Source organism: Homo sapiens, chromosome 4 (assembly GCF_000001405.40).
Source record: "Homo sapiens chromosome 4, GRCh38.p14 Primary Assembly".
NCBI classification, from domain to species: Eukaryota; Metazoa; Chordata; class Mammalia; order Primates; family Hominidae; genus Homo; species Homo sapiens.
The window spans coordinates 84,916,311-84,943,169 of record NC_000004.12 but is presented as its reverse complement, the minus strand read 5'-3'; the positions used below and the strand labels follow the sequence as shown (position 1 = coordinate 84,943,169).

The following is a 26,859-nucleotide window of genomic DNA, read 5'->3' as shown; positions in this document are numbered from 1 at the left end:
AAATCATAAGGAAGAGAAAATATATTTACTGTTCATTAAGTGGAAGTGGGTCATCATAAAGGTGTTCATCCTCATTGTCTTCACACTGAGTTGGCCGAAGAGGAGGAGGAAGAGAGGAGTAGTTGATCTTGTCTGATGTGGCAGAGGCAGAAGAAAATCCACATATAATTGGACAACACAGTTCAAACCCATGTTGTTCAAGTTTACTGTATATACGTAAGTAAAAGTAAACAAATTGTAAGTTGAAGCTTAATGAAATTTCTCAAAATGAACATGCTTCACCATTTAAAAAAAAATAAAAAGGTTAGCCACAGACTGGTAAATATACTTGCAAAACATATACATACTTGGCAAAGGATATGAACCAGAATATATAAAGAACTCTCACAATTCAATAATAAGAAGACAAAGAACCCTGTCGAAAAATGAACAAATAATTTGAACAGATATTTTACCGAGGATATGTGAATGACAAATGCATGTAAAATCTGATGATGTTAAGTTTGGTAAGGATATGCAGCAACTAGAAGTTTCTTCTCATTCATTCCTGGTGAAATGGTATAGCCATTTTAGCAAACAGTCAACTAGTGTCTCATAAATTCAAACATATTCATTAGGATCTATAAATTCCATTCCTAAGTATATCTATAAAAGAAATGAAAGCACATGTCCACAAAAAGGCTAATGTTCATAGCAGCATTCAAAATGTTTTAATTTGCTTTTCATAAATAATGGTAGTGAGCTTTCATTGCTTGTTTGCTGTATGTATCCTTTTTTTAAAAGTAAGTGTCGACATCTTTTATTCTTTTTAAAATCAGTTTGCTTTTTTTTTATTGTTTAAAGAATTCATTATATATTTTGGGTTCCAGTCTGGTATGTGTTTTACAAATACTTTCTCCCAGTTTTTGGCTTAATTTCATTTTTATAACACTGTGTTTTGAAGAGCAGAAATTAATTTTGGTGATGTCCACTTTGCCCATTTTTTTCTTTTATAGTTTTTACTTTTTATATCCTGTTAGAGAATTTTTTGCCTAACTCAAAGTAACAATGATTTTCCCCGAAGTTTTCCTCTGGAAGTTTTATAGTTTTAGATTGTACATTTATGTCTGTGATTTGGTTTGAGTTAAATTTTGTATATAGTGTGTGATGTGTGGGTTGACTGAAGTTTTTGTGAGTTTTATTTATTTATTTATTTATTTTTGGGTTGTGGATATCTGATTACTGTAGCACTGGCTAGTGAAAAATTTTTCCTTCCCTATTAAATTGCTTGACATCTTTGTCAAAAATCAATTGACCATGTTTGTGTGTATCTGTTTCTGGAATTTCTGTCCTTTTCCATTGATCTAGGTGCTTTTACCACTGCCACACTATCTTGATTACTGTAGCTTTTTAGTAAGTCTTGAAATCAGGTAATATGAGTCCTCCAATTTTGTTTTGTTTCCAAATCGTTTTGACTATTCTTGATTTCTTTTTTGTGTAAATTTTAGAGTCATCTTGTTGATTTCCAAAAACGAAAGTCTACTCTAATTTTGATTGGGATTGCATTGAATCTATAGGTAAATATGGGAAGAACTGATTCCTTGAATATATTGCCTCCAAATCCATGAACATAGAGTATCTCTCTATTTACTTAAGTCATCTTTGGTTTATTTCATCATTGTTATCAATGATTATCTCATTAGTGATTATTTCATCATTGTTTTATAGTTTTCAGTAGACAGATTTTGCACAGTTTGTTAGAATTACTCCTCAGCATTTCATGTGTTTTGGGTGCTATTATAAATGGTACTATCTATCTATCTATCTATCTCTTTATCTATAACTTTTAGTTGTTTCATTGTTAATATGTAGAAACACAATTGATTTTTGTATATTGAACTTTGTATACTGCAGTCTTGCCAAGTTCCCTTATTAACTTAGGGAGGTTTCTTTGGTAGACTCTTTGGGGTTTTCTATCTATATATATAATCATGCTGCCTGGAATAAAGACAGTTTTACTTCTTCCATTCCATTTTTGCCTTTTATTTATTTTTCATGCCTTATTGCACTGGCTAGGATTTCTAGTATATGTTAAAAAGAGAAAGCATTCAGTCTTTCTTCATTAAACATGATGTTAGCTATATCTGTTTTAAAGAGGCTGTTTATCAGGTTGAGTAAGTTTCATTCTATTCCTGGTTTAGTAGAGCTTTTATCATTAATAGATGTTGAATTTTGCAAGTGATTTTTAAAATATCTATTGAGATTATATGGTTTTTAATCTTTATTTTATTGATAATGGTAAATTATGTTAATTTTTTGAATATTGAATTAGCCTGGCATTTCCAGGATAAATGCACTTCATCATGATGTAATACCCCTTTTATATGTTGCCAGATTTGGTTTCCTTATATTTTGTTAAAAGTTTTTGCATTTATGTTCACAAAAAATATGAAATTTCTAGTCTTTTTTTCTCTTAATCTCTTTGTCTGGTTTTGATATCAGGATATTGTATCTTATAAAAGGCTTTGGGAAGAGCTTTCTTCAATCTGGATTGTGCTGGTTAGTATAAACAAGAATATATAGTGTGCTATCTTTTATGTAAGAAAAAAGGGAAAATAACACATACATATATATGCTTGACTTTACAAAAAGAAGGGGTAGTGAGAGGTAATGGGGCCAGAGGTTTATGGGAGGCAATGACACTTCAAAGTAAACCTTTTTTTAAAAAATATAGTTTTGGCTTTTCATAGTGTGTTTTTTTCAGTATTCAAAATAAGGACGGAAATGGGGAGAATCCTAATCCACTGAAACAAATGAACCTGAATGTATTTTAAATTAGTATTGTACCCCCATTGAGGGAACAAAGAGTAAATCTAAGTAATTTATTACTAATAACATGGTGCTATAACTATAACCATATACCGTCAGCTTGGGTAGAGTTGAAAGAGACGGGTTGCAGGCAACTCTTGAACTCATTCTATTAGGTTTACTTTTCATAGTGATATGGACATAGCACTTCTGGGACTTTTTAGGTGTATTGGGGATTGAGTAAATGTTTTGAGGTTGTTGGAGTGAGGGTTCTCCCTGAAGAAGGAGAGACACACAAATATGGGGTGGGAGAAGGCATAATAAATTCTGTGCAGGTGGATTGGAATTGAAGGTATCAGTGAGTTCATGATGTTTTAAGCCAATATATATGTACATGTAATTGCATGTACAGACATATGTACATAAATTTGTATGTGTATTTGCATTCATACATTTCCTAGCTCTGTCCAGTAAAAGGGCTAAGAGGCAAAGAGCATACCTAACTCCAAATTCTTGGAATTAGAATTCTGTAATACCATTCTCAAGTCAAAGGAACCAGAGCTCCTCACAGAAATAGATGATTCTAGGATAGGGTAGGGCACATACCATGTGAGCCTGGATTATTTTTCAATGCGAGAAAATAGAAACTTTTTTTTTTTAAATAAGAACATGTCACAAGAAGCCTATTGGCATTCCTGCTAGCCAAATTTGAGATAATTTAATAATCAAGTAAGTATAATAATAAATTATGAACCATTAGAAATAGGAATAAATCCATAATGATAATAAAAATAAGTGAATGAATAGAGGAGAAAGGAAGGCTCTTTCTTCCAGTAGGACTCTGAGCTTTAGAGTTGGAAAAATCATTATTTTGTAGCTAGCGTAGTAGATATTAGGTAGGGCAAGAGTCATAACTAAATGAGGGAGAAATTTTGATGAGAAGCAGGATATTTTCGATGTCTTAAAGCATCACCCCACAGACTGTGTACTAATTGCAAGGGATAATATAGTGATTATGCATTGGTGCGATCCAACAACAATATGGGGCAGATGGTCACCATGTGACTCCAGATAGGACACCCTGAGGGGACACATCATCTCCTCTGTAGTATTCTGGCCAAGACTGCATAACCTGAATTTAATCACGAGGAAACATTCGACAAGTGCAAAATAAGGAATGTTCTACTTTAAAAAGCGGGGAGGGAACTGTGGTCCTTAAAAAAGTCAGTGTCATAAAAGAGAAAGAAAGGCTATGGAAGTGTTCCAAATTAAAGGAGGCATAGAAGAGAGAACCACTAACAGTACCTGACCCTAGACTGGATCTTATACTGAATGGGGGAAAATATACCATGCAGGATGTTATTGGATCAATTGAAAAATTAGAATATTGGAATATAGACCATAGAATAGATAAAAATATTGTAACAATGTTATAATTACTGAAGTTGATCACTGTGCTTTCCTTATAAGAGAAAGTATTGCTAAAGAAACACACATTGGAAGAAGAGGAGGAAAGGGCTTGATGTATATAGTTTATTCTCATTTGCTCCAGGAAAAAAAGTGTATGTGTGCATGTGTGTGTATGAATGCAAGAAAGTGTAAAAGCTCAGGAGCACAAATGTAAAAGTAAAGAGGTGACATTAGTAATGGCTGAATCTGAGTATGAGTGATTTTTGTATTTTTACTAACTTTTCTGTAAGTTTGGAATTATTTTCAAACAAAATATTGAAAACATTTAAAAATATCTGCCCTTTATTTTTAGACTTTCCTCATTTATAAAGAGCTTGGTTCTTTCTCTGGAACCAGTTTGGAATGAACATTTTTGTAATATTTTCCTGTGTGCTGGTGTTACGGCCCTGCATGCCAACCATTGTTAAATATGACAGCAGTTAGTGGGAAAGAAATGAGTCATTCTGTGGACGGCCAGAGTCTAAAACCTAATAATAAGGGGAACTATTTGTTAATTTATCAAATTTATGGAAGTATCAGTTACAATGTCTAATAAAATATTTTGAGGTTATCATCATTATCAATTATCTTTTGAAGAAATTTTAGAATGATTCTTTTACATCAAAAATCTAGTTGTTGTCCCCCAATTATTTAGATTATCTTGTTTTATAAACTAGGAAAGATTCCCATTTTTAGCCTTAAGAGAGTAACTGTTTATTTATTTTAAAAAATGTTAATTGGATGCCTGCTATGTGCCAGATTCTTTTTTAGGCATTGGAGCTGTAGCATTAAACTAAACAAAACCATTGCCCTCATAGATTTTACATTTTCATGGAAGGACATAGACAAATAGGAATAGAAGGGAAATACACCTGTCAGAGTATCGCAGTGCTTATATCCAAATAACCCTTATTTTACTTAATAATGGCCCCAAAGCATAAGAGTACTATGCCTAATTTATAAATTAAATTTTATCACAGGTATATATGCATGGGGAAAAATGTACTGGGGGTCTTGGAACATATCCAACCCCCAACCCACACAGATAAGGAAGGGTCTACTGTAATCATCTCTTGGAAAAGCATATAGGGAGAGAATAGCAAGTATAAAGGCCCCAAGGCAAGGATGTGCCTGGCCTGTAAAAAGAATGGCAAGGAAGTTGGTAGGAAATGAAGTCAGGGGTAATAGGGGCCAAATTTTATAGGTTCTTTTATGTCATTTTTTAAAAAAATGGCCTACTCTGAGTGAGATGGGAAGCCACTGGGAGATTTTGGGAGCAGATGTTATACGATTTATGATTTATGTTAGGTTGTCTGGATCACTCTGGCTACTTCGATGAGAAAGGACTTGAAAATAGGACAAGGGTAGAAGTTGGGAGACCAGTTACTAACCTATGGCAAAAATCCAAGTGAGGGACAATACAGACTTTGACCAAAATAGTAACTATGCAAGTGGCGAGAAGTGGTCAGATTCTCAGTATTTTTGTAGATAAAGTCAATAGTACTTGCCAGTGGGTTAGAGAAGAAGGCTAACAACCTAAACTTTAAAGGTCAGGGAGAAGAGGAGGAACTAGGAAAGAACGCTGACAAGGAGAGGTCGATGAGATAGGATGAAACCAATAGAGTTGGTTCTGGAAGCCAATAAAAGAAAGTGTATCAGCATGTGATATGTCATGCCAAATGCTGCAGATAAGTCAAGAAAGATGAGAACTAATAGGCCTTTGGATTTAACAATATTCAGGTAATTGATGACCTTGAATTTCAGTGATGTTGTGTAGTAAAAGTCTAATTGGAGTGTGTTAAATTTGAATGGAAGTATAATTGTAGACAAGGAGTACAAGCTTGTGATGTTTTGCTAAAAAAGGAATCAAAGATATTGGCCATCATCTAGAGGCATATAAGGAGTCGAGAGGTTTTGTTGTTTGTTTTCTAATGATTGGAAATGTATTTGCCAGTGATTTTGCTTTATTGGAAGGAGGAAATTGATGACGTAGGAGAGAGAAGTGGGATTTCCTAGAGCAATGACATTGGTGTTCTAGGCATGTAACATCTAGTAGCAAAGTAGAGGGGTTAGATTTTGATGTGAATCCTGAAATTCAGTGAAAGGGTACAGATTCAGGTGGGGAGGTAAATGTCATGAGAGATTCTGGAAGTTCTCTTCTGATTGCCTGTGGCTTTTGAATTTTTTTTTTCTTGTATGATGCATTTCATCAGATTACCTGGCAGGAGTCCTGGGAGGCCTTAGGAGGACTCTAAAACTGCTTGTTAAAAATTTTGAAAATTTATTTTTTGTTATTATTTAGTTTAACTGGCTACTTTGTATAAAGTTTGGAAAGAGACTCCACAAAATCTTTCTGGGCTATTTGGAAAAAAATTTTCTCATTGATCTTCAAGCCAAATAATTTTTTTTAAAAGAGACAGGGTCTTGCTATGTCACCCAGGCTGAAGGGCAGTGGCACGTTCATAGCTCACTGTGGCCTCAATCTCCTGGACTTAAGTGATCCTCCTGCCTCAGACTCCTAAGTACCTAGGACTACAGGTGTTTGCCACCATGCCCAGCTAATTTTTAAATTTTTTGTAGAGATGGGGTCTCACTATGTTGCCCAGTGTGGTATCAAACTGCTGTTCTCAAGTGATAGTCCTGCCTCAGCCTCACAAAGAGCTGAGATTACAGGCGTGAGCCACCACTCCCCACCCAAAGAGTATGATAAGACCCAGCACAATTTCCATTTTAAGTATTAATATAAGAAAACCAACTCAGAAGACATAGATAGGCCAGGGAGATATAGCTAATCATCTAGCTAAGTCTGGAATTCAGGTTTCTGTGGCATTTCAATGTACACAGTTTAATTTCAAAATTTAGTTTTTATACATATGTGCATATACATTTAAACTTAATCCTCTGACAATGTAACTGACTTACTCTAAATTGGAGGCAAGGAAAGCATGAAGTAAAAATATGTAAAATGTCAGGGTCAAAATGGGAACTTTAAATTGTGGTCTTAATTGTGACCTGTGTAAAACTTGATTCCTGAGAATTATACTATATTACATATTGTAGTTAGAATGTACTGAAATCATTTTGTAGCATTTGTTCTTGGCTGAGTTTATATTAAAATGAAAGATTGTAAATCTAGATTGATTTTATAATATTTTAGATTTCTGATACTTTAAGATGTCTGTAGATTACATTTATATTAAAAAATGGGTTGAGGAAATCATTGGTACTCTAACTTGCTGTTGCCAGTTTTCTGGCCGCCTGCTATTTTTGCTTCTGCTCCCTTATCTCAACAATTGCCTGTTTTTGGTCAAGACTGGTAAAACCAAGTAATGGGCATCCAAATACATATAAAATACACATGAAACAATATGAAAATGGCAAATAAGTCAGGAGGAAAATGGGTAAAATATATGAATAGGCATTTCATACGAGAGAAAATATGAGATAGCCAAGAAACATGAAGAAATACTCAGCATCATTAATTGACAAGGAAGTGCGAACTAAGACCACAATTAGATGCCATTCTATACCCAGCATTAAAAAGTTGGCATTACTACACGTTGGAGAGGCTGTAGATGTGGTAGTTCTGCTACTACCTTTTGGTAGTGAAGTTATAAATTGCCAAACACACTTTAGGGAAAGTAAAAATTGGCATCATCATGAAAAGTTAAATTTAAGATTACTCCCTAACTCTTAGGCATGTACTTAAGAGAAACTCGGACACATGTGGAACATGACACATGTCAGAACTTTCATAACATAAATGTTCATAATAGCAAAACAAAACTTGGAGGGGAAAATAAGCTATTGACAAGAGAACGGATAATTAAATTGTGATATATTTGTACAATGCAGTATTATTCTGCAGTGAAAATGAATGAACTACAACTATATGCAACAACGTTGGGTGAGTTTTAGAAACGTAATATTGAATTAAAAAACCAAATCCTACAAGACAGGAGGATAGATTTTGATACCGTTTTGATAGATTTCAGAACCAAGCAAAATGGAACACTATATTGTTCAGGAAGATGTACCTATGTGATATACTGTTTAAAAAGCAAAGTAATGATAAATACAAAATACAGGATTGCGGTTACAGGGGGTGGTGGGGATAAGAGAGGTGGAGCATGGAATGGAGGAGGAACAAATTAGTAGAACAATACCAATAACTTACCCTTAGGTTCTTGAGTTGGGTGACAGGTATCTGGATGTTCATTCTATTATTTTGCTTTGAATTTAAAATGTTCCAAATAATTGTTGTATGTAATAATTAATATATTAAAAGATAAGCTATAATCTGAAGTCATAATTTAGGAGACATGTCATTAATTCTGCCTACTCTCTACTGCCACCTGAATTCCTAACAGCACTCAGTATTTCACTAGAATTATCTTGTTTTAAAGCTTTCTGTCTCATTAAGCTTGTATGTATCTGCCATCTGGCAAGTGACTCAGTAAAAACTTATTGGATGAATAACTAGATCAATGATTTGAGGAAATAATTCAGGATATTTCTTAGAAACTACCCAAGAGGTAGACTTTTAAAGAGTACTTTTCCTTAATCTGATTTAAAAAATGAGCAAAAGATCAGAATAGACATTTCTCAAAAGAAGACATACATATGGCAAACAAACATGCATTAAAAGGTGCTCAGTGTCATTGATCATCAAAGAAATTCAAATCAAAACCGCAATGAGGTATCAACTCGTCCCATTAAAATGGCTTTTATGCAAAAGACAGGCAATAACAAATGCTGACAAGGATGTGGAGAAAAGGGAACCCTCGTACACTGTTGATAGGAATGCAAATCAGTACAGACATTATAGAGAACAGTATGGAGGTTCCTAAAAACCTGAAAATAGAACTGCCATGTGATCCAGCAGCCCCACTACCAGGTTTATACCCAAAAGAAAGGAAATCAGTGTATCAAAGAGATATCTACACTCCCATATTTATGAGCACTGTTACCAATAACCAAGATTCGGATGCAAACTAAGTGTCTATCAGCAGACAAATGGATAAAGAAATTGTGGTATATACACATTGGAATACTATTCAGCCATAAAAAAGAATGAGATCCTGTCATTTGCAACAACATAGATGAAACTGGAGGACATTATGTTAAGCAGAATAAGCCAGGTGCAGAAAGACAAACTTTGCATGTCTTCACTCATTTCTGGGAGCTAAAAATTAAAACAATTGAACTCATAAATAGAGAATAGAGTGATGGTTACCAGAAGCTGGGCAGGGTAGTGGGTGGGGCAAGAGCGGGGATAGTTAATGGGTTCAAAAGCATAGTTAGAAAGAATGTATAAGATCTAGTATTTGGTAGCACAATAGGGTGACAGTTAATAATTTGTACATTAAAAAATAAGTATAATTGGAATGTTCATAACACAAAAAAATAATAAATGCTTGAGATGATGGACACCCCATTTACCCTGATGTGATTATTACACATTGTATGCCTGTATTAAAACATCTCATGTACCCTATAAATCTGTATATTTACTATGTACAGGTAAAAATTAAAAATAAAAATTAAAAAGAGGGATTTTTCTCCTACTTCTAGCTGGGTTTCTGTAATAGAACCAGCCAGGTAATGAGATAAACCAGCAAAACTAGGTTATTATTGGTTAGGTTTTTGAATAATTACCTGTCTATTGAAGGCAATATTGCCTTCAATGATTTTGAATGATTTTGTTTGAACTATAATAATACGATTAAAGAGTTTAACAAATAAAGTTACATAACAAAAACACATAGCTCATCTGAAAAGGCGAATGTCATTAAAGATGATGCTATTCTTTGGTATAACATTTTAGAGTTAGAAGGCCCCTAGGAATTAGTCCAGGCTCCTCCTTTTTGAATTAAAGAACTTTAGGACCAAAATGTGTTTGACTACACTATAGAACTTGTTGAGAGCAGAGTTACTAGAGGCCTAAGAAACTAGATCTCATGATTCATATGCTAATGTTTTCATATTGAAATATTGACTGGTAAATGAAAGGAAACATTTATATATCCTGTATAAGGCAACCCAAATAACTTGAGACTAGAGTATGACCTTTGAATGAGGCAGCAATTTTTAAAATTTTAATTTAGAACAAATCAATTCAGCTCTATACCGCATTTATCTTGAGATGCATGAAAAATACACCTAGAGAAATAGCATGAATTTTTTCTCCAAGAAAAGAGGCTGTGTGGTCTGTGATATACAAATGAGTACTGGACTGGAAGTGGTAAGGGTTGAGTTCTGAATCTGGCTCTAACACTAAGTAGCTGTGTTGTCATTGATTCTTTGCATAATTTCTCCAGGTCAAAGTTTCCTTATCAGTAAAATGAAGAAGTGAAATCAGATGGTCTGTAGAGACCAGCTTTAAATAACTTTATATTTTTCATGGATCTTTAATAGCAAATTTAATCTATTTTAAATAAAGTGCTATATGTTCCATTATTAAACAAGCAAGACAACAAGTAAGGAGGTAAAGAGAATCAGTAGAAAATGAATGACTCATGATGTATATTCTGAACATAAACTGAGTTTTCTTTTCCTTTCCTTCATCAGGTATAATACTTCTCCACGTCTGCTTCAGGAAGAAAGTGCCTGCCATTCTTATCATTTCTAAGCAGGTTCATGCCAGCCCAGAACAGAGAATCAGGTCAGTTTTAGGATTTTTTTTTTGTTGAAAAAGGAGCCAGGAACAGAATTGTGATTGTCTTTGCTGCGTTATTGTGCAGCAGCAAGACCAGTGACTTGTGATTCAGGAGTTGGGTTTCAACCGTCCTTTACCACTGATGACTGGTAAGCTTGGGCAAGCCTTCTTTGCTTGTTGGCTCTTAGTTTTCTGCACCAAAACAGGGCTACATTAGAATAAGTTATCTTCAGTTTCAATTTTGGCTTTAAATCAATATTACTTTTCTTGTAGGTACCTACAGATGATGAAAGTCATATTTTTAAAGCATAATTTCCTCTTGTTTTTTCCTGGAAAAATGTAGTTGTTTTTAAAGCACATGCTTTGAAACTCTTTAATCCATTGTATTGTAGTTTCTTTGAGTGACTAGTTTAAGGATTAAACTGTCTTGTGAGGCCCTTGAGAGTACTGTGGCTACCCTTAGTTTTAATGCTTTACTTTACTTTGTTGTTATTAAAAAGTTTATTTTTTACATGAGGTTATTAGTTTTTCAATAATGTTCTTCAGCTTTAGAGAGGGTACCTTTTTGATCATGTTGTTTCTCTGTTGATTGCAAGTAATCAAATTATTTTAACCAAAAATGGGAAAACTTTTGGAGTGTCCCAGGAGATGCCACAGGATCCAAGAACAGAAATGCAGCTGGACTGCAAATAAGAACCCAGGACTAAAGACAATCAGATTTCCCGCAGGCTCTCAGCAGAGTGTCTCTTCTCTGCATGTTCATCTCATTCTTCTTTCTCTCTTTGGGAACTAGCTATCATCACATTGCTGTTCTTTGTGAGGTGAAGCCTGCTTGCCACTGCCTCCCAAGCATAATACCTTATAATCCAGATCCCAAAGAAAGGCTAACTAAGCACTCAATACTGATTTGCCGGAACAGACTCTGATTCCTCAATCAGATACCTTTAGACAAATTGTGGCTTAGGGCATGGTAATTTAAAAGCTTTGCATTGGCTTTCTTTGTTTTAAAGACTGTTCTCTGAAAAAGGTCTCACTTATTCCTACTGAAATGTGGATAACTAATAATAAGATATAGTAGTACTTCTTCCACATGTGCGATAGTCTCCCCTTATCAGAGAGGGATATGTTCCAAGACCCCCAGTGGAAGACTGAAACCACAGATACTAGGGAACCCTATGTATACTATGTTTTTTCTATACATACTTGCCTGTAACAAAGTATAATTTATACATTAGACACAGTAAGAGATTAACAATAATAACTACTAATAAAATATAACAATTATAATAACAAATATTGCAGTGAAAGTTATGTGAATGTGGTTTCTATCAAAATATCTTACTGTATATAATATTTTTGGATTGTGGGTAATGAACCGTGGAGGGTGAAATCATGGATAAAGGGGGAATATTGTAATACTTTAAAGTTATATCCATGTTATTGCATTCATCTGTGTTACCCAGAATTAAAAAGGATAAAACTTCTGATCCTTTTAATGCTGGGTAGTATTTCATTGTTTGGATAGTCCACAGTTTGTATATCCTTTCATCAGTTGATGGACATTTATTTGACTATCATGAATAAAATGGTACAGTGCAATAAGATATTTTGAGAAAGGAAACTTTTTTCATTTGACTTTTTGAGAAAAAAGATTTGAATATAGGAGACATACTATTAGGTACCCAGCTGAGCTGCCAACTGTGATTTTGGGTAAATTACTTTTTCTCTGTGCACCTCAATTTATTCAGATCCGGCATCGCCACGTACTAGCTTTGTGACCTTTACTTCTGGACATCAATTTCTACATCTTAAAAAAGGAGTGGATGATAGTGGTAGCTCATGGTATTATTATAAAGAATTAATGTATGTGTTCCTGGCACATCATTATTATTATCATCATCAATTTCTGAAATGAGTAGATTAGATTATATGACTGCAGAGGTCCCAGCTCACTAAAATATCTGTGGTCCTAAGATTTTCCGGTATGGACTAATATCTTTTTTCTTAATAAAGACCTTTGGGCATCTACTTGAGTCCTAAATGGAGGCTAATTTTGGTATTGTTGATAGAAGTTATTTTGAATTAAGTATATGTGTGTTATCTATTGCCACATATATTAGTTTGTGAGGGCTGCTGTAACAAAGTACTAAGAAGTGGGTGGCTTAAATGACAGGAATTTATGGTCTCACAGTCTGTATGCTGGAAGTCTGACGCCAGTGTTGCAGGGTTGGCTCCTGAGGCCTGTGAGGGAAGGATTTGTTCCAGTCCTGTTTTCTTGGCTTTTAGGTGGCCATCTTTTCCCTGTGTCTCTTTGCACGGTCTTCCTTCTATGCATGTCTCTTGTGTCTAGATTTTTTTTTTTTTTAAGCGAAGTTTCTCTCTTGTTGCCCAGGCTGGAGTGCAGTGGTGCGACCTTGACTGACTGTAACCTCCGCCTCCTGGGTTCAAGCGATTCTCGTGCCTCAGCCTCCCAAGTAGCTGGGATTACAGGTGTGCATCACCACATCCAGCTAATTTTTTGTATTTTCAGTAGAGACAGGGTTTTGCCATGTTGGCCAGGCTGTTCTCGAACTCCTGACCTCAGGTGATCCACCCGCCTTGGCCTCCCAAAGTGCTGGGATTATAGGCGTGAGCCACCACGCCCGGTCCTGTGTCCAGATTTCTAAGGACCCCAGTCATACTGGATTAGAGCCCACCCTGATGGCCTCATTTTAACTTGATTACCTCTTTAAAGACCCTAGCTTCAAAGGTCACATTTTGAGGTACTGACGGTATGGATTTCAACGTATGAATTTGGGGGGGGGGGCGCAATTCAATCTATTGCCCTACATAACAAATTACCCCAAAACTTCTCAGATTAAAACTGCAAACATTATCTGTTTTTGTTGATCGGGAATCTGAGTGCAGCTTAACTGAGTCCTCTGGCTCAGGATCTCTCACAAAGCTGCACCTAACATATCTGCTAGGCCTGTGGTGTCATCTGAAGGTCCTGGGGGAGGATCTGCTTCCAATTCAATGATGTGATTATTGGCAGCATTTAGTTCTTCACTGATTGTTGAACTAAGGGACCCAGTTCCTTAGTGGGCTGTTTTTGAGAAGCTAATTTCAGTTCCTTGCCACTTGAGCCTTTACTGTAGGGCAGGTCACAACATGGCATCAACTTCCATTAGTGCAAGCTAACAAGAGACGGTGAGCAAGATGAAAGGCCCAGTGTTTTTGTAATATAGTCTCGAAAGTGGCATGCATTCACTTTTTCCATATTCTGTTTATTAGGAGTGATTCACTAGGTCCAGCCCACATTCAAGGAGAGGGGATTACACAAGGGTGTGAATACCAGGAGGTAGGGTCATTGGGAGCCACTTTTGAGGCTGTACTAGTATGTATAAAATGAGATATGTTTTGGTCCTGTGTAGACTTATTCAAGTGGCGTGTGACTTTTCACTTCGCTACGTTATTAACATGATATTTCTCATAAAATATGCAGAGGTCTAATCTCATTTCCCTAAAAAAATTTAAGAGTAAGAGGTCTGAGGTTATTAAGATTACCTTAATTTTATCAACTTGTTTGTGGTCATTTTCAACAACTAAGGTATTATAAAGTATTAGGAATTAGCTGCCATATGTGAGGATATTTAATACACCAAACTGGCCAAGGGTACTGCTCAATTACAGTTACTTTTACAGAATGTAGTGGTACAATCATATATACCATATCATCCAGCTAGCAGTTCTTACCATTTACACTGATGGAAAAATCCATAGTGTTTTAGTCAGGGTTACCCGAGAGACAGGCTATCGATTGAATATATATTTAGATAGTGATATATATGAGAAAGAATTTATTAGGGGAATTGGCTTAGTCAATTATGGAGACTGAGAAGTCTCACCATAGGCTGTCTGGAAGCTGGAGAACCAGGGAAGCTGGTAGCATGACTCAGTCCAAGTCCAAAGGCCTCAGAACCAAGGAAGCCAATGCTGTAACTCTCAGTCCAAGGCCGAGGGCTCGAGAGTCAAGCACGGAGGAGGGAGAGGGGTTGATGCTAGTCCCAGAATCCAAAGGCTAGAGAACAAAGAGCTCTGATGTTCAGGGACAGACGATGAAGGGCATCCTGGCTTCAGAAAAGAGGGCAAGTTCACCCTTCTTCTGCTTTTTTGTTCCATCTGGGTCCCCAGCTGATTTGACAGTGCCCACTCATATTGAGGGCAGATCTTCCTTACTCAGTCCACTGACTGAAATGTCAATCTCCTTTGGAAACACCTTCACAGACACACCTGGGACACCCCAATCATTCTAAACAAATTCCATACCACCTGGTTTTGTCTTTCAGCAGAAATGGGATGAGCTCAATGCCTGCTGAAGCATTGAGAATAATTACTGCTTTACCAGCTATCTGGGTATATTAGTCCATTCTCACATTGCTATGAGAAAATACCTGAGACTGGGTAATTTATAAAGAAAAGAGCTTTAATTAATTCACAGTTCCACATGGCTGGGGAGGCCTCAGGAAACTTACAATCATGGCTGAAGGCACATCTTCACAGGGCAGCAGGAGAGAGAATGAATGCCAGCAGAGGAAATGCCAGACACTTATAAAACCATCAGATCCCCTGAGACTCACTCATTATCACAACAACAGCATGGGGGAAACCTCCGCCATGATCCAATTACCTCCACCTGGCCCCGCCCTTGACACATGGGGATTATGGGGATTACAATTCAAGGTGAAATTTGGGTGGGGACACAAAGCCAAACCATTTCACTGGGTATCCCTTAATCCAGTCATGTTGATACTCCAAATCAACCACCATCATATTTGGAAACTTATTTTATGGGTTCTTTCTGTAATTCTTCTTATGGAAGGCTGTATAGTTGTGTTTCTGGAAGTGAAATTTGACCTAGTTGGCATTATCTGTATGAGTTAATCTATAAGGTGTGTGTGTGTCTGTGTGTGTGTGTGTAACATATGGAATAACATTTCTTTAGTAAATTTAGTCTAAGAATATCTCAAGTTCATGGAGAAAAGGTTGTTTTTAAAAACTTCATTAGGTTAGATGGAGCATGACTTCTTAAGCATATGATGACATGATTTTTACGTGATTTTACAAGTGGTTTATTTTTATAAGTAGTTGTTTAATTATTATTTGTGAATTACTGTAAATAGAATACATTTAATAGTAAACAAACACCTCATTGTTAGAAATGTTGAGACATTTTTAACTCTCACTAGATTTGGACGTTTAAGTCATAGTATACAGAAATTAAGTAAACATAATTTAATAGGATTTCTACGTGGTATTCCTTTTTACTTGTTAGCAGGGTTAGCAGAAATCATACAAAAATTTAAGACTTTCTTTTGGTATGCCTGTAGTGGACTGGGGAAGGCATTCTTATCTTTGAACAATTGATAATTTTTTTCTTAGAAAAAACTCTGTTGAATTGATTATGGCAGAGGGGAAGGTCTGTTGAATTGATTATGGCAAAGGGGAAGGTTTAAGCTTATGCTCTTAGGATGCTGTTACCAGGATACTGAGCTGAAAGTTCTGTTTTATAATATACCTCCTTTTTATTACGAAAACTTCTGGAACTGCATAGATTTATGACTAGATTTTAGGCTTTAGACTATTTGAGGAAAATAATGTTGCAAATTTTATGATTTAGAAAAACATCACCCAGAAATGAAAGTCTGTGTCAAATGTATTAGAAAGAAAACATGTGTTGAGAGAGTTTAAAAAGCTGGAAGGGAACTCAGGAAAATGTAAATGAGTAAAGATACTTGATGTGAAGTTTAAATTACAAAGTATAAAAAGTTTTTATAATCAGAAAAAAATACGTAGCAAAATAAAATTGTATTACTAAATAGAGTTTTGGGATTTTAAAATCTAATTCAATTTTCTTTCATTTGAAGAAGTGATACTTAAAATTTCAGTCTTAGAAACACTAATCTTTTTAATCACCACTTTATCTTCTGTTGTGAAACTTTTTTCCTTTTTCTATAGACTTTTGATTTATTAAATAGAGCCTGATGTTTGTATGGCCACATCACATTGATTTTTTTTTTTTTTTTCTTTTAGAGACGGAGTCTCACTCTGTCGCCCAGGCTGGAGTGCGGTGGCGCGATCTTGGCTCACTGAAAGCTCTGCCTCCCGGGTTCAAGAATTGCTTGAACCCGGGAGGCAGAGGTTGTAGTGAGCCGACATCACGCTATACTCCAGCCTGGGCGACAGAGAGAGACTCCATTTCAAAGAAATCTGAAAACAAGTATAGACTGCCCAATGGTTTAGTCTCTCCCTTACCTTTTTAAACCCAGTTTTATATTTTGAAAAATTTAAACATGCAAAAATGTTTAATGAATAATACAGTGAACATCCAAACACCTTCAACCTTGATTCAATAATTACCAACATTTTGCCACATATATTCTTGTGGAATATGTACATTTTAGAGAGGGGTGTGGCACTGCTGGACCATTTGAAAGTAATTTCAGACCTTATGACATTTCACTCTTAAAAACTTCATACTTTAATATGCATCTCCTAGAAATAAAGGACGTTGTTTACATGACCACTGTATTAATTACCATATGTAAAAAAGAACAATAATACTGTGTTAAATTCAGTCCATATCTTAATTCTCCAGTTGTCCTCAAAACTTCCTTTATAGCTTTTTTCAAACAACAATCTAGTTAAGGTCCACATATTGCATTTGCTTATGTGCTGTTTATTCTTTAAAAAATCTAGATTAGTTTCCCTTATCCTGTTTCTCTTTCACTCTTCCTCTCTTTTTCTTTCTCTCTTCCTTTCTTTTTTAATAATACTGACTTTTTGAAGAGTCCAGACCAACTTTCTTGTAAAAATCCACATTGTCCATTTGTTTCTTCCTGGGTCTGCCTAGTGAAGTCAGAAAGTATTCCTGCCATGGGAGCAGCAAGCCACATGAGATTTTTTTTAAAAAACTTCCCAGGGCATTAGATAGTGACTAGAAGTAGTTATTACTTGGTTGAAGTTAACAAATGAGAACAATTAAGAGAGGTTTCTTTGAGGCTAATAGAGTAGAAATTGGAAAAATAATAGGAAAAGAAAGAGGTTAAAGGAAATGCTTATGGCACTGAGGCATGATGCTAGGTGAGTTACTTAATAAAGAGGGAAGAGACTTGGAAATCACAGTCCTCAGCACCTAGAGGGTTAGATGTCCATTCTGTGCTAGCTAAGTAGCTGAATGAATGAAGAAACACCTTTAGATTTTCTCTTCTGAGCTTAACTGCTACTGGAAAAGCAAAGGAGATTGTGAGCATTAAACCTTTTGTAGGTATGAGGTTTTTCATGGAAGTATACATGTAATAGTATATTGTACTGGTTCTTGCAAATTTTCAAGGGCAAATTTGGAGCCATGATCTTACACTTTGGCTATATCTTTATGCTTTATAATGATTGTGTAGGTTCTGTAGTTGGAAGGTACTATAGTAGGAAAAGTTTTAGAAGCAGAGGATTTTAGTTTTAAATGATGTTCATACCACATACTAGCTAAGCAGCCTTGTTCAAGTATACCTTTTCCTCTGAATGTTTACTCCTTTATGATGATGGAACAACAATGTGTAGGTGAAAGAGCAGAGGATTGAGTATAAGGCAGACAGACCTGTTTCTAAAGCCTGGTTTTTCTGGTTTCTAGCATGTGACCTTGGGCTACTTAACTTCTCTTATTCTCAATGTTCTGTTTTGTAAAAATGGAATTGATAGTATCTACTTCATGTGATTGTTGTTAGGATTAAAGAGATAGTTCATGTAAAACGCTGAGTGGAGCCTGGCATATGGTAGGTACTTGGCATATGTTAGCTTTCTTCACACAGGGTTATTGTGAGGATCAAGTTAAATGGTCAACTAAATGTGAAATGCCTTTGTAAAGAATAAAGTCCTACACAGAAAAATTAGCCAATGCCTAGGAAATAGAATATGGATATAAAGCCGTGTATGTATTTCTATTCATTTTACATTGTAGAAACCTCTGCAATGATAGTATCCTAAGAAATATTGTAAACGCTAGAAAATAACTTTTCAGAAATCTGCTTTTTAAGAAAATAGATCTAATTGTTAGGTATTAAAACATTGCAATTATTTTTTTTGTATAGAAAAAAGATTCCTTTAATCTCTTAGGGCTGTGCCCTAAATCACTGTTGCCTATGTGAATGTGTGTATTTATAGCCTGAGTGCTTCCCCCATTAATGTAGCTTGTAGGAATTTATTTATATAAATGTTTCTATTAACAAAAAAATAAGCTGATTACAGTTTTTGCAGTTTGGCATTAGGGAAAATAATATATAACTCACAATCATGGCTATTTGCAGCCTTGACCTCCTGGGCTCTATCGATTCTCCCACCTCAGCCTCCCCGAATAGCTGGTACTATGGGTGCACACTACCACAACTGGCTAATTTTTGTATTTTTAGTAGAGAAGGGTTTTCACCATGTTGGCCAGGCTAGTTTTGAACTCCTGACCTCAGGTGATCCACCTGCCTCAGCCTCCCAAAGTGCTGGGATTACAGGCATGAGCCATCATATCTGGCCTGAAAGTTTTATTTTCATGCTTGGGGCATGGTGTATAGAACCAGCTACTAAGAATGTTTATTAGCATTAGAGATTGATATGAACATTATTAAGAATCTCTTCCCCTGTAGGAGAGGCAAAATTTCACCTCTGTCCTCTTAGGGTAATAGTTGGGCCCAAGAATTAAATTGCCATTAACAGGAGAAAAGCATACACATTTATTTAATAAAAGCTTTATGTGGCATAGGAACCCTATAAAGAAATGAAGACCCAAAGAAGCAGTGAGAGACAAACACTTATATACTGAATTGGACAAAAAGCAGTAACTTGCAAAAAATGTAATAAGGTGGGGGGGCTTGGGCTAGGGTAGTCAAGTGGGCAGAGAAGTGGTTGGGATGTTAAGAATTTGTGTAACAATTGTTTGTCCAGATTTCCTTTGGCCTCATCTTTTTATTCTTGATGATAAGAATGCTGTTTTCTTTGTAGTATAGGAAGGGCATCTTTCACATGGGAATTTCATCTCCTACTTTTAAGAAACAGCATGGTCAGAATGATCTTCTTGTACCTGCTGTTTTTTTAAGTGCCTTTAACTTAAATAGTCAATATGCCAGAATGGCATTTTGGGGTGTCATATTCTTAACTCATTTACCCCAAAAGACTATGATGATTTTGTCCTCATTATTTGCAAACCTAAAGAGACAGGCTAACTGCTTTTCTAAGTTCAAAGATCTCACAGCATGTGTCCCAGCTGAATAGAAGATAGGCCAAACACTTCGATTTTTAGCTATCATTTAATGCTTTAAGCAATATACAAAGAGTAAATTAAATAACTCTGTTGCATATGGGATTCCTTGGCTGGGTGTGGTGGCTCCCGCTTATAATCCCAGCACTTTAGGAGACTGAGGCAGGGGGATCACTGGCATGGTGGTGCACACCTGTAGTCTCAATTACTCAGAAGGCTGAGGCAGGAGGATCCCTTGAGTCAAAGAGGCTGAGGTTGCAGGGAGCTTTGATGGTGCCACTGCACTCCAGGCTGAGCAGAAGAGCGAGACCCTGTCTCAAAAAACAGCAGCAAAAACAACAAAACAGACTTTGCCTCGGTAAAAGCAATAAGATTAAAAAAAAAAAATGTCTTCCTGTACTGTTGGCCATATTTACATGCTTAGACCTATAGAAATCCAACAAAAGAGCCCAGCTATAGACTGAATTGATCTTTGATCCTTTACTCTGCCTGTCCTGACACACAACTACTCACACTTACAATTTAATAAATTAAAGTTTAAAGAACAAGTGTTATTTGTTATAAAAAGACTAAATTAATGTGATGATTAAAACAACTTTTTGTGGGGAGAGGAGGCCGTAGTGTGACATGTTTATTGCCTCTGTTTAGTTTGTTTTCTTTTCCTTCTGTAAACTGGAAAAGAAATATAAGAAGCAAGCTTTTTGTCCTGAGAAGACTCTTTAATGTATATTTGGCTATCTGTTGTATTTTATATTCTCAGTGTAAAATATCAATAAATGTTTATATTTATAAAATCTAGTTGTTGTTATTGTGCAACTTGACATTCAACATAAAAGTTACTTAAAACCTTATACTGATAGCTAAAATCTACAGGTGTAGGTGCTCAAGTAGAATACTAGAATCCGGATACAGATATATATTGTGTAACTTTATGTATATTATACATATATGCTATATATGTGTATATTTTTATATACAATAAATGTATAGTTATATATTGATGCCTTGAACTGAGAAATTGAAAATCTAAAAATGAAAGCAGGCCAGGTGCGGTGGCTCATGTCTGTGATCCCAGCACTTTGGGAGGCCAAGGCAGGTGGATCACGAGGTCAGGAGTTGAAGACCAACCTGGCTAAGATGGTGAAACCTTGTCTCTGCTAAAAATGTAAAAATTAGCCGGGCGTGGTGGCAGGTGCCTGTAATCACAGCTACTAGGGAGGCTGAGGCAGAGAATTGCTTGAACCCAGGAGGTGGAGGTTGCAGTGAGCTGGGATTGTGTCACAGCACTCCAGCCTGGGCGACAGAGTGAGACTCCGTCTCAAAAAAAAAAAAAAAAAAAAAAAAAAAAATGAAAGCAATAGAGACTTGGTTCCATATTTGCTTATAAATAATAGAATATATATTGATTATGAATAATACTGTCCTCAAGTAACATTTGATAAAATGTCAGATATTGATAAAGACATATAAAAATACTTTTCTCTGATTATGCTTGCTATTTCATTAGGAATAATTGAGAGAGGGTTAGTTAATTCTTAAAATGCTAACATTTTAACACTAGACAAATCTCTGTTTTACTAATAGAGTTTTCTTCTTTTCCCTTACCTTTTTAACTTTTTCCTTCCCTTCTTTTCAATTTTCTACTTTCCCATTTATTTTCCTTCCCTTCTTTTCCTTAAATTTCTTTTCCCTTCTATGCTTTTAATTACCTTTCCTTCTTCCAGGGTTCTTATGTTATTTGTATAAAAGGCACTGAACATATTGCTTAATAGCAGTTGCTTTAAGATTGGGTCCGAGAAGGCTCTTGCAGTTGTTTTATGACTATATCAATTATGTTATACCAGCTTTTTAAATCTCTGGGCAGTAATTTTTGCTTATTTGCTTCTGAAGATCCAAAATAATATATTTTATTAGTGTTGGGTTTTTTTCAAGTTAATCCATTAAGTTCTTTCCTACCTATATTTAGGACAAATTAAGAAATACAGGGAGTGACATATTCAAATTTCATTGGGGGAATTCACTCTGTAGCAGTGTGTAGAATGATTTAGGGCCAAGACTGGAGGAACGGTGATCAGTAGTAGATTGTAGCAGTAAATCAGACGAGAAATGCTAAGTGATTAGGTCCTACACCAATTTGGTATGATTGGAGGAAAAAAAAGGTCATATTAATGATATTCCCTTAGGAAATTCTCCTTTGGGTTGTGGGAGTTATAGAACCGGAAGGAAATGATGAAACTATTGAGTAATCTAGGTTAACTGTCAAGTTTCTAGTGGGATGACTAGTTGGCACTGGTGCTGTTCAGCTGTGTAGGAATTATAAAAGAAGGAACAGATTTTAGGGAGAAAAATAATGTGTTAGTTCCTGAATATAATGATTTTTTTGGAAATAATTTCAAACTTGCATAAAAGTTGCAAAAATAATATAAAGAGCATCCAGTTGCCCTTTATCCAGATTCATCTATTGTTAGCCATTTGTCCCAAATGCTTTATTACTCTTTCTCACTTTGTGCATGTTTATATGTATATATTTGTAAACATACATGCATGCATACATTTATTCTTTTCATTTAGCCATTTGAGAGTTACATTGAACATATTATGGCCCTTTAGTCCTAAATGTTTTTGTGTAGATTTCTAAGAATAAGGATCATCTCTTATATTAGCAGTCTAAAAACTTAAGTAGACTTAACATTCTTACATTACTTTAATCTTCCGTTTTCTAATTTTGTTATCTGAATAAGTGCCTTCTATGGCAGTTTTCTTCTCCTCCAGTGTAGGAATTAGTCAATGATCATATCTTGCGTTTATATTTGATGTCTTTTTAGTACCCTTAATCTAGAATAATTCTTCAACCTTTATCTTTTATTATATGACATTTTAAAAGTACACAGTCATCCTTTCTCTCCCTTTTCAGAAGTTATTTTTTGTTCGTTTTCTTATTTTTTGTTCCTTATTTTTTATTTGTTTGATGTTTCTGTTGATAAGATTTTAGGTTATACATTCCTGGATGGAATATTACATAAGGAATATATCTTTCTGAGCATATCATATCTATAGGTACTGACTGTTCTGCCGTTCATTTGTGATGGAAATTTTGACCATTTCATTGTCTGATTTTTCCACTATATAGTTACTATGTGTATTAGTTCATTCTCACGCTGCAATGAAGAAATACCTGAGACTGGGTGATTTATAAAGGAAAGAAGTTTAATTGACTCACAGTTCCACATGGCTGGGAGGCCTCAGGAAACTTACAATCATGGTGGAAGGGGAAGCAAACACACCTTTCTTCACTTGGAGGCAGGAGAGAGAAGTGCCGAGCAAAAGAGAAAAAGTCCCTTATAAAACCATTAGATCTCTAGAGAACTCACTCACTATCATGAGAACAACATGGAGGTAACCACCCCTATGATTCAGTTACCTCCCACCAGGTCCCTCCCATGACATGTGGGGATTATGGGAACTACAATTCAAAATGAGATTTGGGTAGGGACACAGCCAAACCATATTACTACATGTTCCTTGCAACTAATAAAGGGTCTACTGGGAGGGAGACACTTTAAGACAGTTAAAATATACAGCTCCTCATAACATTTCATCCCCTGTATGTAGCATCCATTGATGATACTTGCTTGAATCAATCTTTACTATTATAGTTGCAAAATAATGATTTACTCTCTCTGCATTTACCAGTCATTACTCAGCATTCTACTGTAATAGGAGCCCTTCTATTTATCTATATGTATTGTTTTATTTATTGTTGATTTGAATTTATGGTTTCCTATTTTTCCCTTAATGCTTAACATTTCACTACTGTTAAATATTTTGGAGCTAAAATTGTTCCAGTCCTCACCAGTGGCATCTTCTTCATGCTGGCTCTTGTATCCTTTTACATGTTCCCATCATTTTTTTAAGCAAGTCATTAGTTTCACTCTTTATAATAAGTTTCATCTTGTGCATTTATTGCCCAGCACTGGAGTCAGTCATTTCTCCTAGGAGCCTTAGTCCTTCTTATTGGGTAATAGTATTAGAAACCAAGATCTGGATGCTTTGGTATATATGTTATTGCTGGATATCTTTGCTTCTGGGCCCTATCAGGGAACAAACTAGAAAATGTACACATGTGTGTGTGTATATATATATATGTGTGTGTGTGTATATATATATCTATATATATATACACACACACACAAATATGCGCATGTGTTTGCATGTATATGCCCATATAACATGGATATACATATGTGAATATGGGTATTTTTTTTTTCAAAATAAGAATTTACATTGATACCTCCAATTCTCCCTTTTTCTATAATGAGAACATGGGCTCCCAACAGTGCCAACATTTTACTCATTTGGTCTAAACGAGTACCATCTAAAATGGTTTCAGAATTGTTTCACGTATATCACTAAAAACAAAAACAACATGCTACCCTGCTAGATAACCAACCTTATTGTTTTTTGGTTTATCTTTCCAATGTTTCCTTTTATAATGATTAGTAGATATGTGTGTTTTCTTATTTCTCCTTTTTTCCAACACAAAAGATAGCATATTGTCTGTGTAAGCACTTTGGCACTTAACTGTTTTCACTGGAAAATATACCCTGGAAATTATTCCATATCAGTTCATAGAGGTCGTCATCATTCTTTTGTGTGTATGTACACCAGTTCATTCATCTTCTTTTCTATGTTTGTGTATCCAGATAGTTTCTAGCATTTTATAGTTATACAGTTCTGCAATTAATAACCTTGTGTCTTTTCATACTGCTGGAGGTGTATCTTCAGGATAAATGTAGGAGTGGAATTACTAGGTCGAAGTGGTAAATGCCTATGTAGTTTTGCTAGATGTTACCAAATTCCCTTCCATAGGGTTTGTACTGTTTTGCATTCCCATCAGCAATGTATGAGAGTGCCTGTTTTCCCACAGCCTTACCAAGTGAGTCTATTGTCAAGCTTTTGAATTTTTGCCAATCTGAAGGGCAAAGAAATGGTATTTTGGTATAGTTAGAATGTGCATTTTTCTTATTATGAGTGAGGTTTAACATCCTTTCCCATCTATCAGAGCCATATATATAGGGGGAGATGTCTGTCTATATCTTCTTTCATTTTTCTCTAGGAGTTTTGGTCTTTTTAAATTATTACTAAGCTCTTTGAATGTTGGGAATATTATTTCTTTATCTGTAATGTATATTGCAAGTATTTTCTCCCAGTTGTCTCATTTGTCTTTTGACTTTGCTTTTGGTGGTTTTTACCATTCCCAATTTATATATATATATATTCAAATTTGCTAATGATTTTTATTATTGCCCTCGCATTTTGAGTCATAGTTGTAAAAAACATAAAGAGTTTGAAATGAATTTGCTGTGTTTAATAGAAAAGGAATGAGATGGTTATCTCTACCAGATGCTCTATTTATCCTTGTCCTGCAGTCTTACATTGTAAAGCCTGAATGAGAAAAAAATCTGCTATTATGTATAGAATATGTAAGTTAATTTATTTTACTTTTAACTTTTTTAATAGAAAATTTCAGATATCCATAAAATATGCTTATGTATCTATCACCTAGCTTTTGTAATTATCATTTCTTTTAAAACTTCCCTACTAAATGACTTAGATTATACGTTTTCAGTTATTGTGAATTATCCTTGTAAAGAGGAAGGTTTGGACCAGCCTAGTAGGCTTTGGCCAACTGGCCTCCGAGGCTCTCTTGGCTTCTTTTCAATGGTCTTGGCACCAGACCTGACCTCTTTTAGGCTTCTGTAACTTCACCATTTCCATGAAACTGAAGTTTATAGAAAAAAGATAATAGGTCAGAAACTAGTAATATTACCACAAAGGAGTGAAATAATTCAGAGGGCTTGGCGCCGATTGATGCTTTAAAAGTTATATCTTTCCACTTAAACGCACACACACACGAAAAAGATATCTATTCATCTATTTTTCGTGTGTGTGATATATAAAATATGTATCTGTTCATAGATATATACTTCGTTTCATGTATATGTTTTTGTGTGATATATAAAATATATATCTATTCATCTCTTTTTCATGGTTTAATGTTATTAGAGGAGAGCCAGCAAACATCTTTTATCATTGAGTCTAAAAAGAGCTTATAGATGTTTGCCAGCCAGAGTCTAAATGTAACATAGAAAATACTCAAAAATTCTAATTTGCTTAATGGAATTTTGTCTGTACTACAATTATTTTGAACTGAAATTATATTACTTTCATTTGATAACTTCCATAGAAATTGTTTTATTAATTCAGTATATTCATTTTCAATTTATCAAGAGTCCATGATTAATTTGGCAGAATGACTAGAGATCAGTGGAGCTCTGGGATTTCTTCATTTAATTTTAAGTTCTTGTATTCTATTTGGAACAACATTCTTGATACATTGACATCCAGTTGAAGTGCTGCATTAGAGTGTCAGAATAGCCTTTCCCTCCTGCCTGAGTACAAACTGATCAGTCACTTGCTGCTGGTAATCATATGCGAGAATGGCAGTATTCTTCAGGAAATACTTGTAACAGAGGCAGGAAGGAAAATCAGTGAATTCTTCATCTAATGATTGTAAATCATTTGCATAAGTAAAGTCCACATTTGGTTTCTTTTTCTCATTGAGAATAGCAGTGGTAGTGATCATGGCATGACAGAGTGCTGAATGGCAAGAAGAGGATAGAGA

General features: G+C 35.3%; 1 protein-coding gene across 29 annotated transcripts in view, besides 1 other annotated feature; it reads left to right on the top strand.

Annotated features, from left to right (window-relative positions):
- The window catches only part of WDFY3 (WD repeat and FYVE domain containing 3), a 297,094-nt gene that overhangs the window by 23,521 nt on the left and 246,714 nt on the right, over positions 1-26,859 (top strand). For 26 of the 29 annotated variants that reach the window (XM_047449858.1, XM_011531763.4, XM_011531760.4 and 23 more), the window contains exon 2: positions 10,807-10,900. The exons of 1 other annotated variant lie outside the window; for it this stretch is intronic. The gene's annotated coding sequence lies outside the window, so the exon portion shown is untranslated. Of the gene's footprint in view, positions 1-10,789; positions 11,044-26,859 lie in introns of those variants that run through there. 2 more of the 29 variants (XM_047449852.1, XM_047449860.1) reach the window with 2 other exon arrangements.
- Positions 15,249-15,763: an enhancer, noted in NCBI's record as "OCT4-NANOG hESC enhancer chr4:85848560-85849074 (GRCh37/hg19 assembly coordinates)". NCBI's record gives its function as "activates a minimal SCP1, AML or CMV promoter by ChIP-STARR-seq in naive H9 embryonic stem cells {active_cell/tissue: H9 hESC(naive)}" and the evidence as "EXISTENCE:reporter gene assay evidence [ECO:0000049][PMID:30033119]".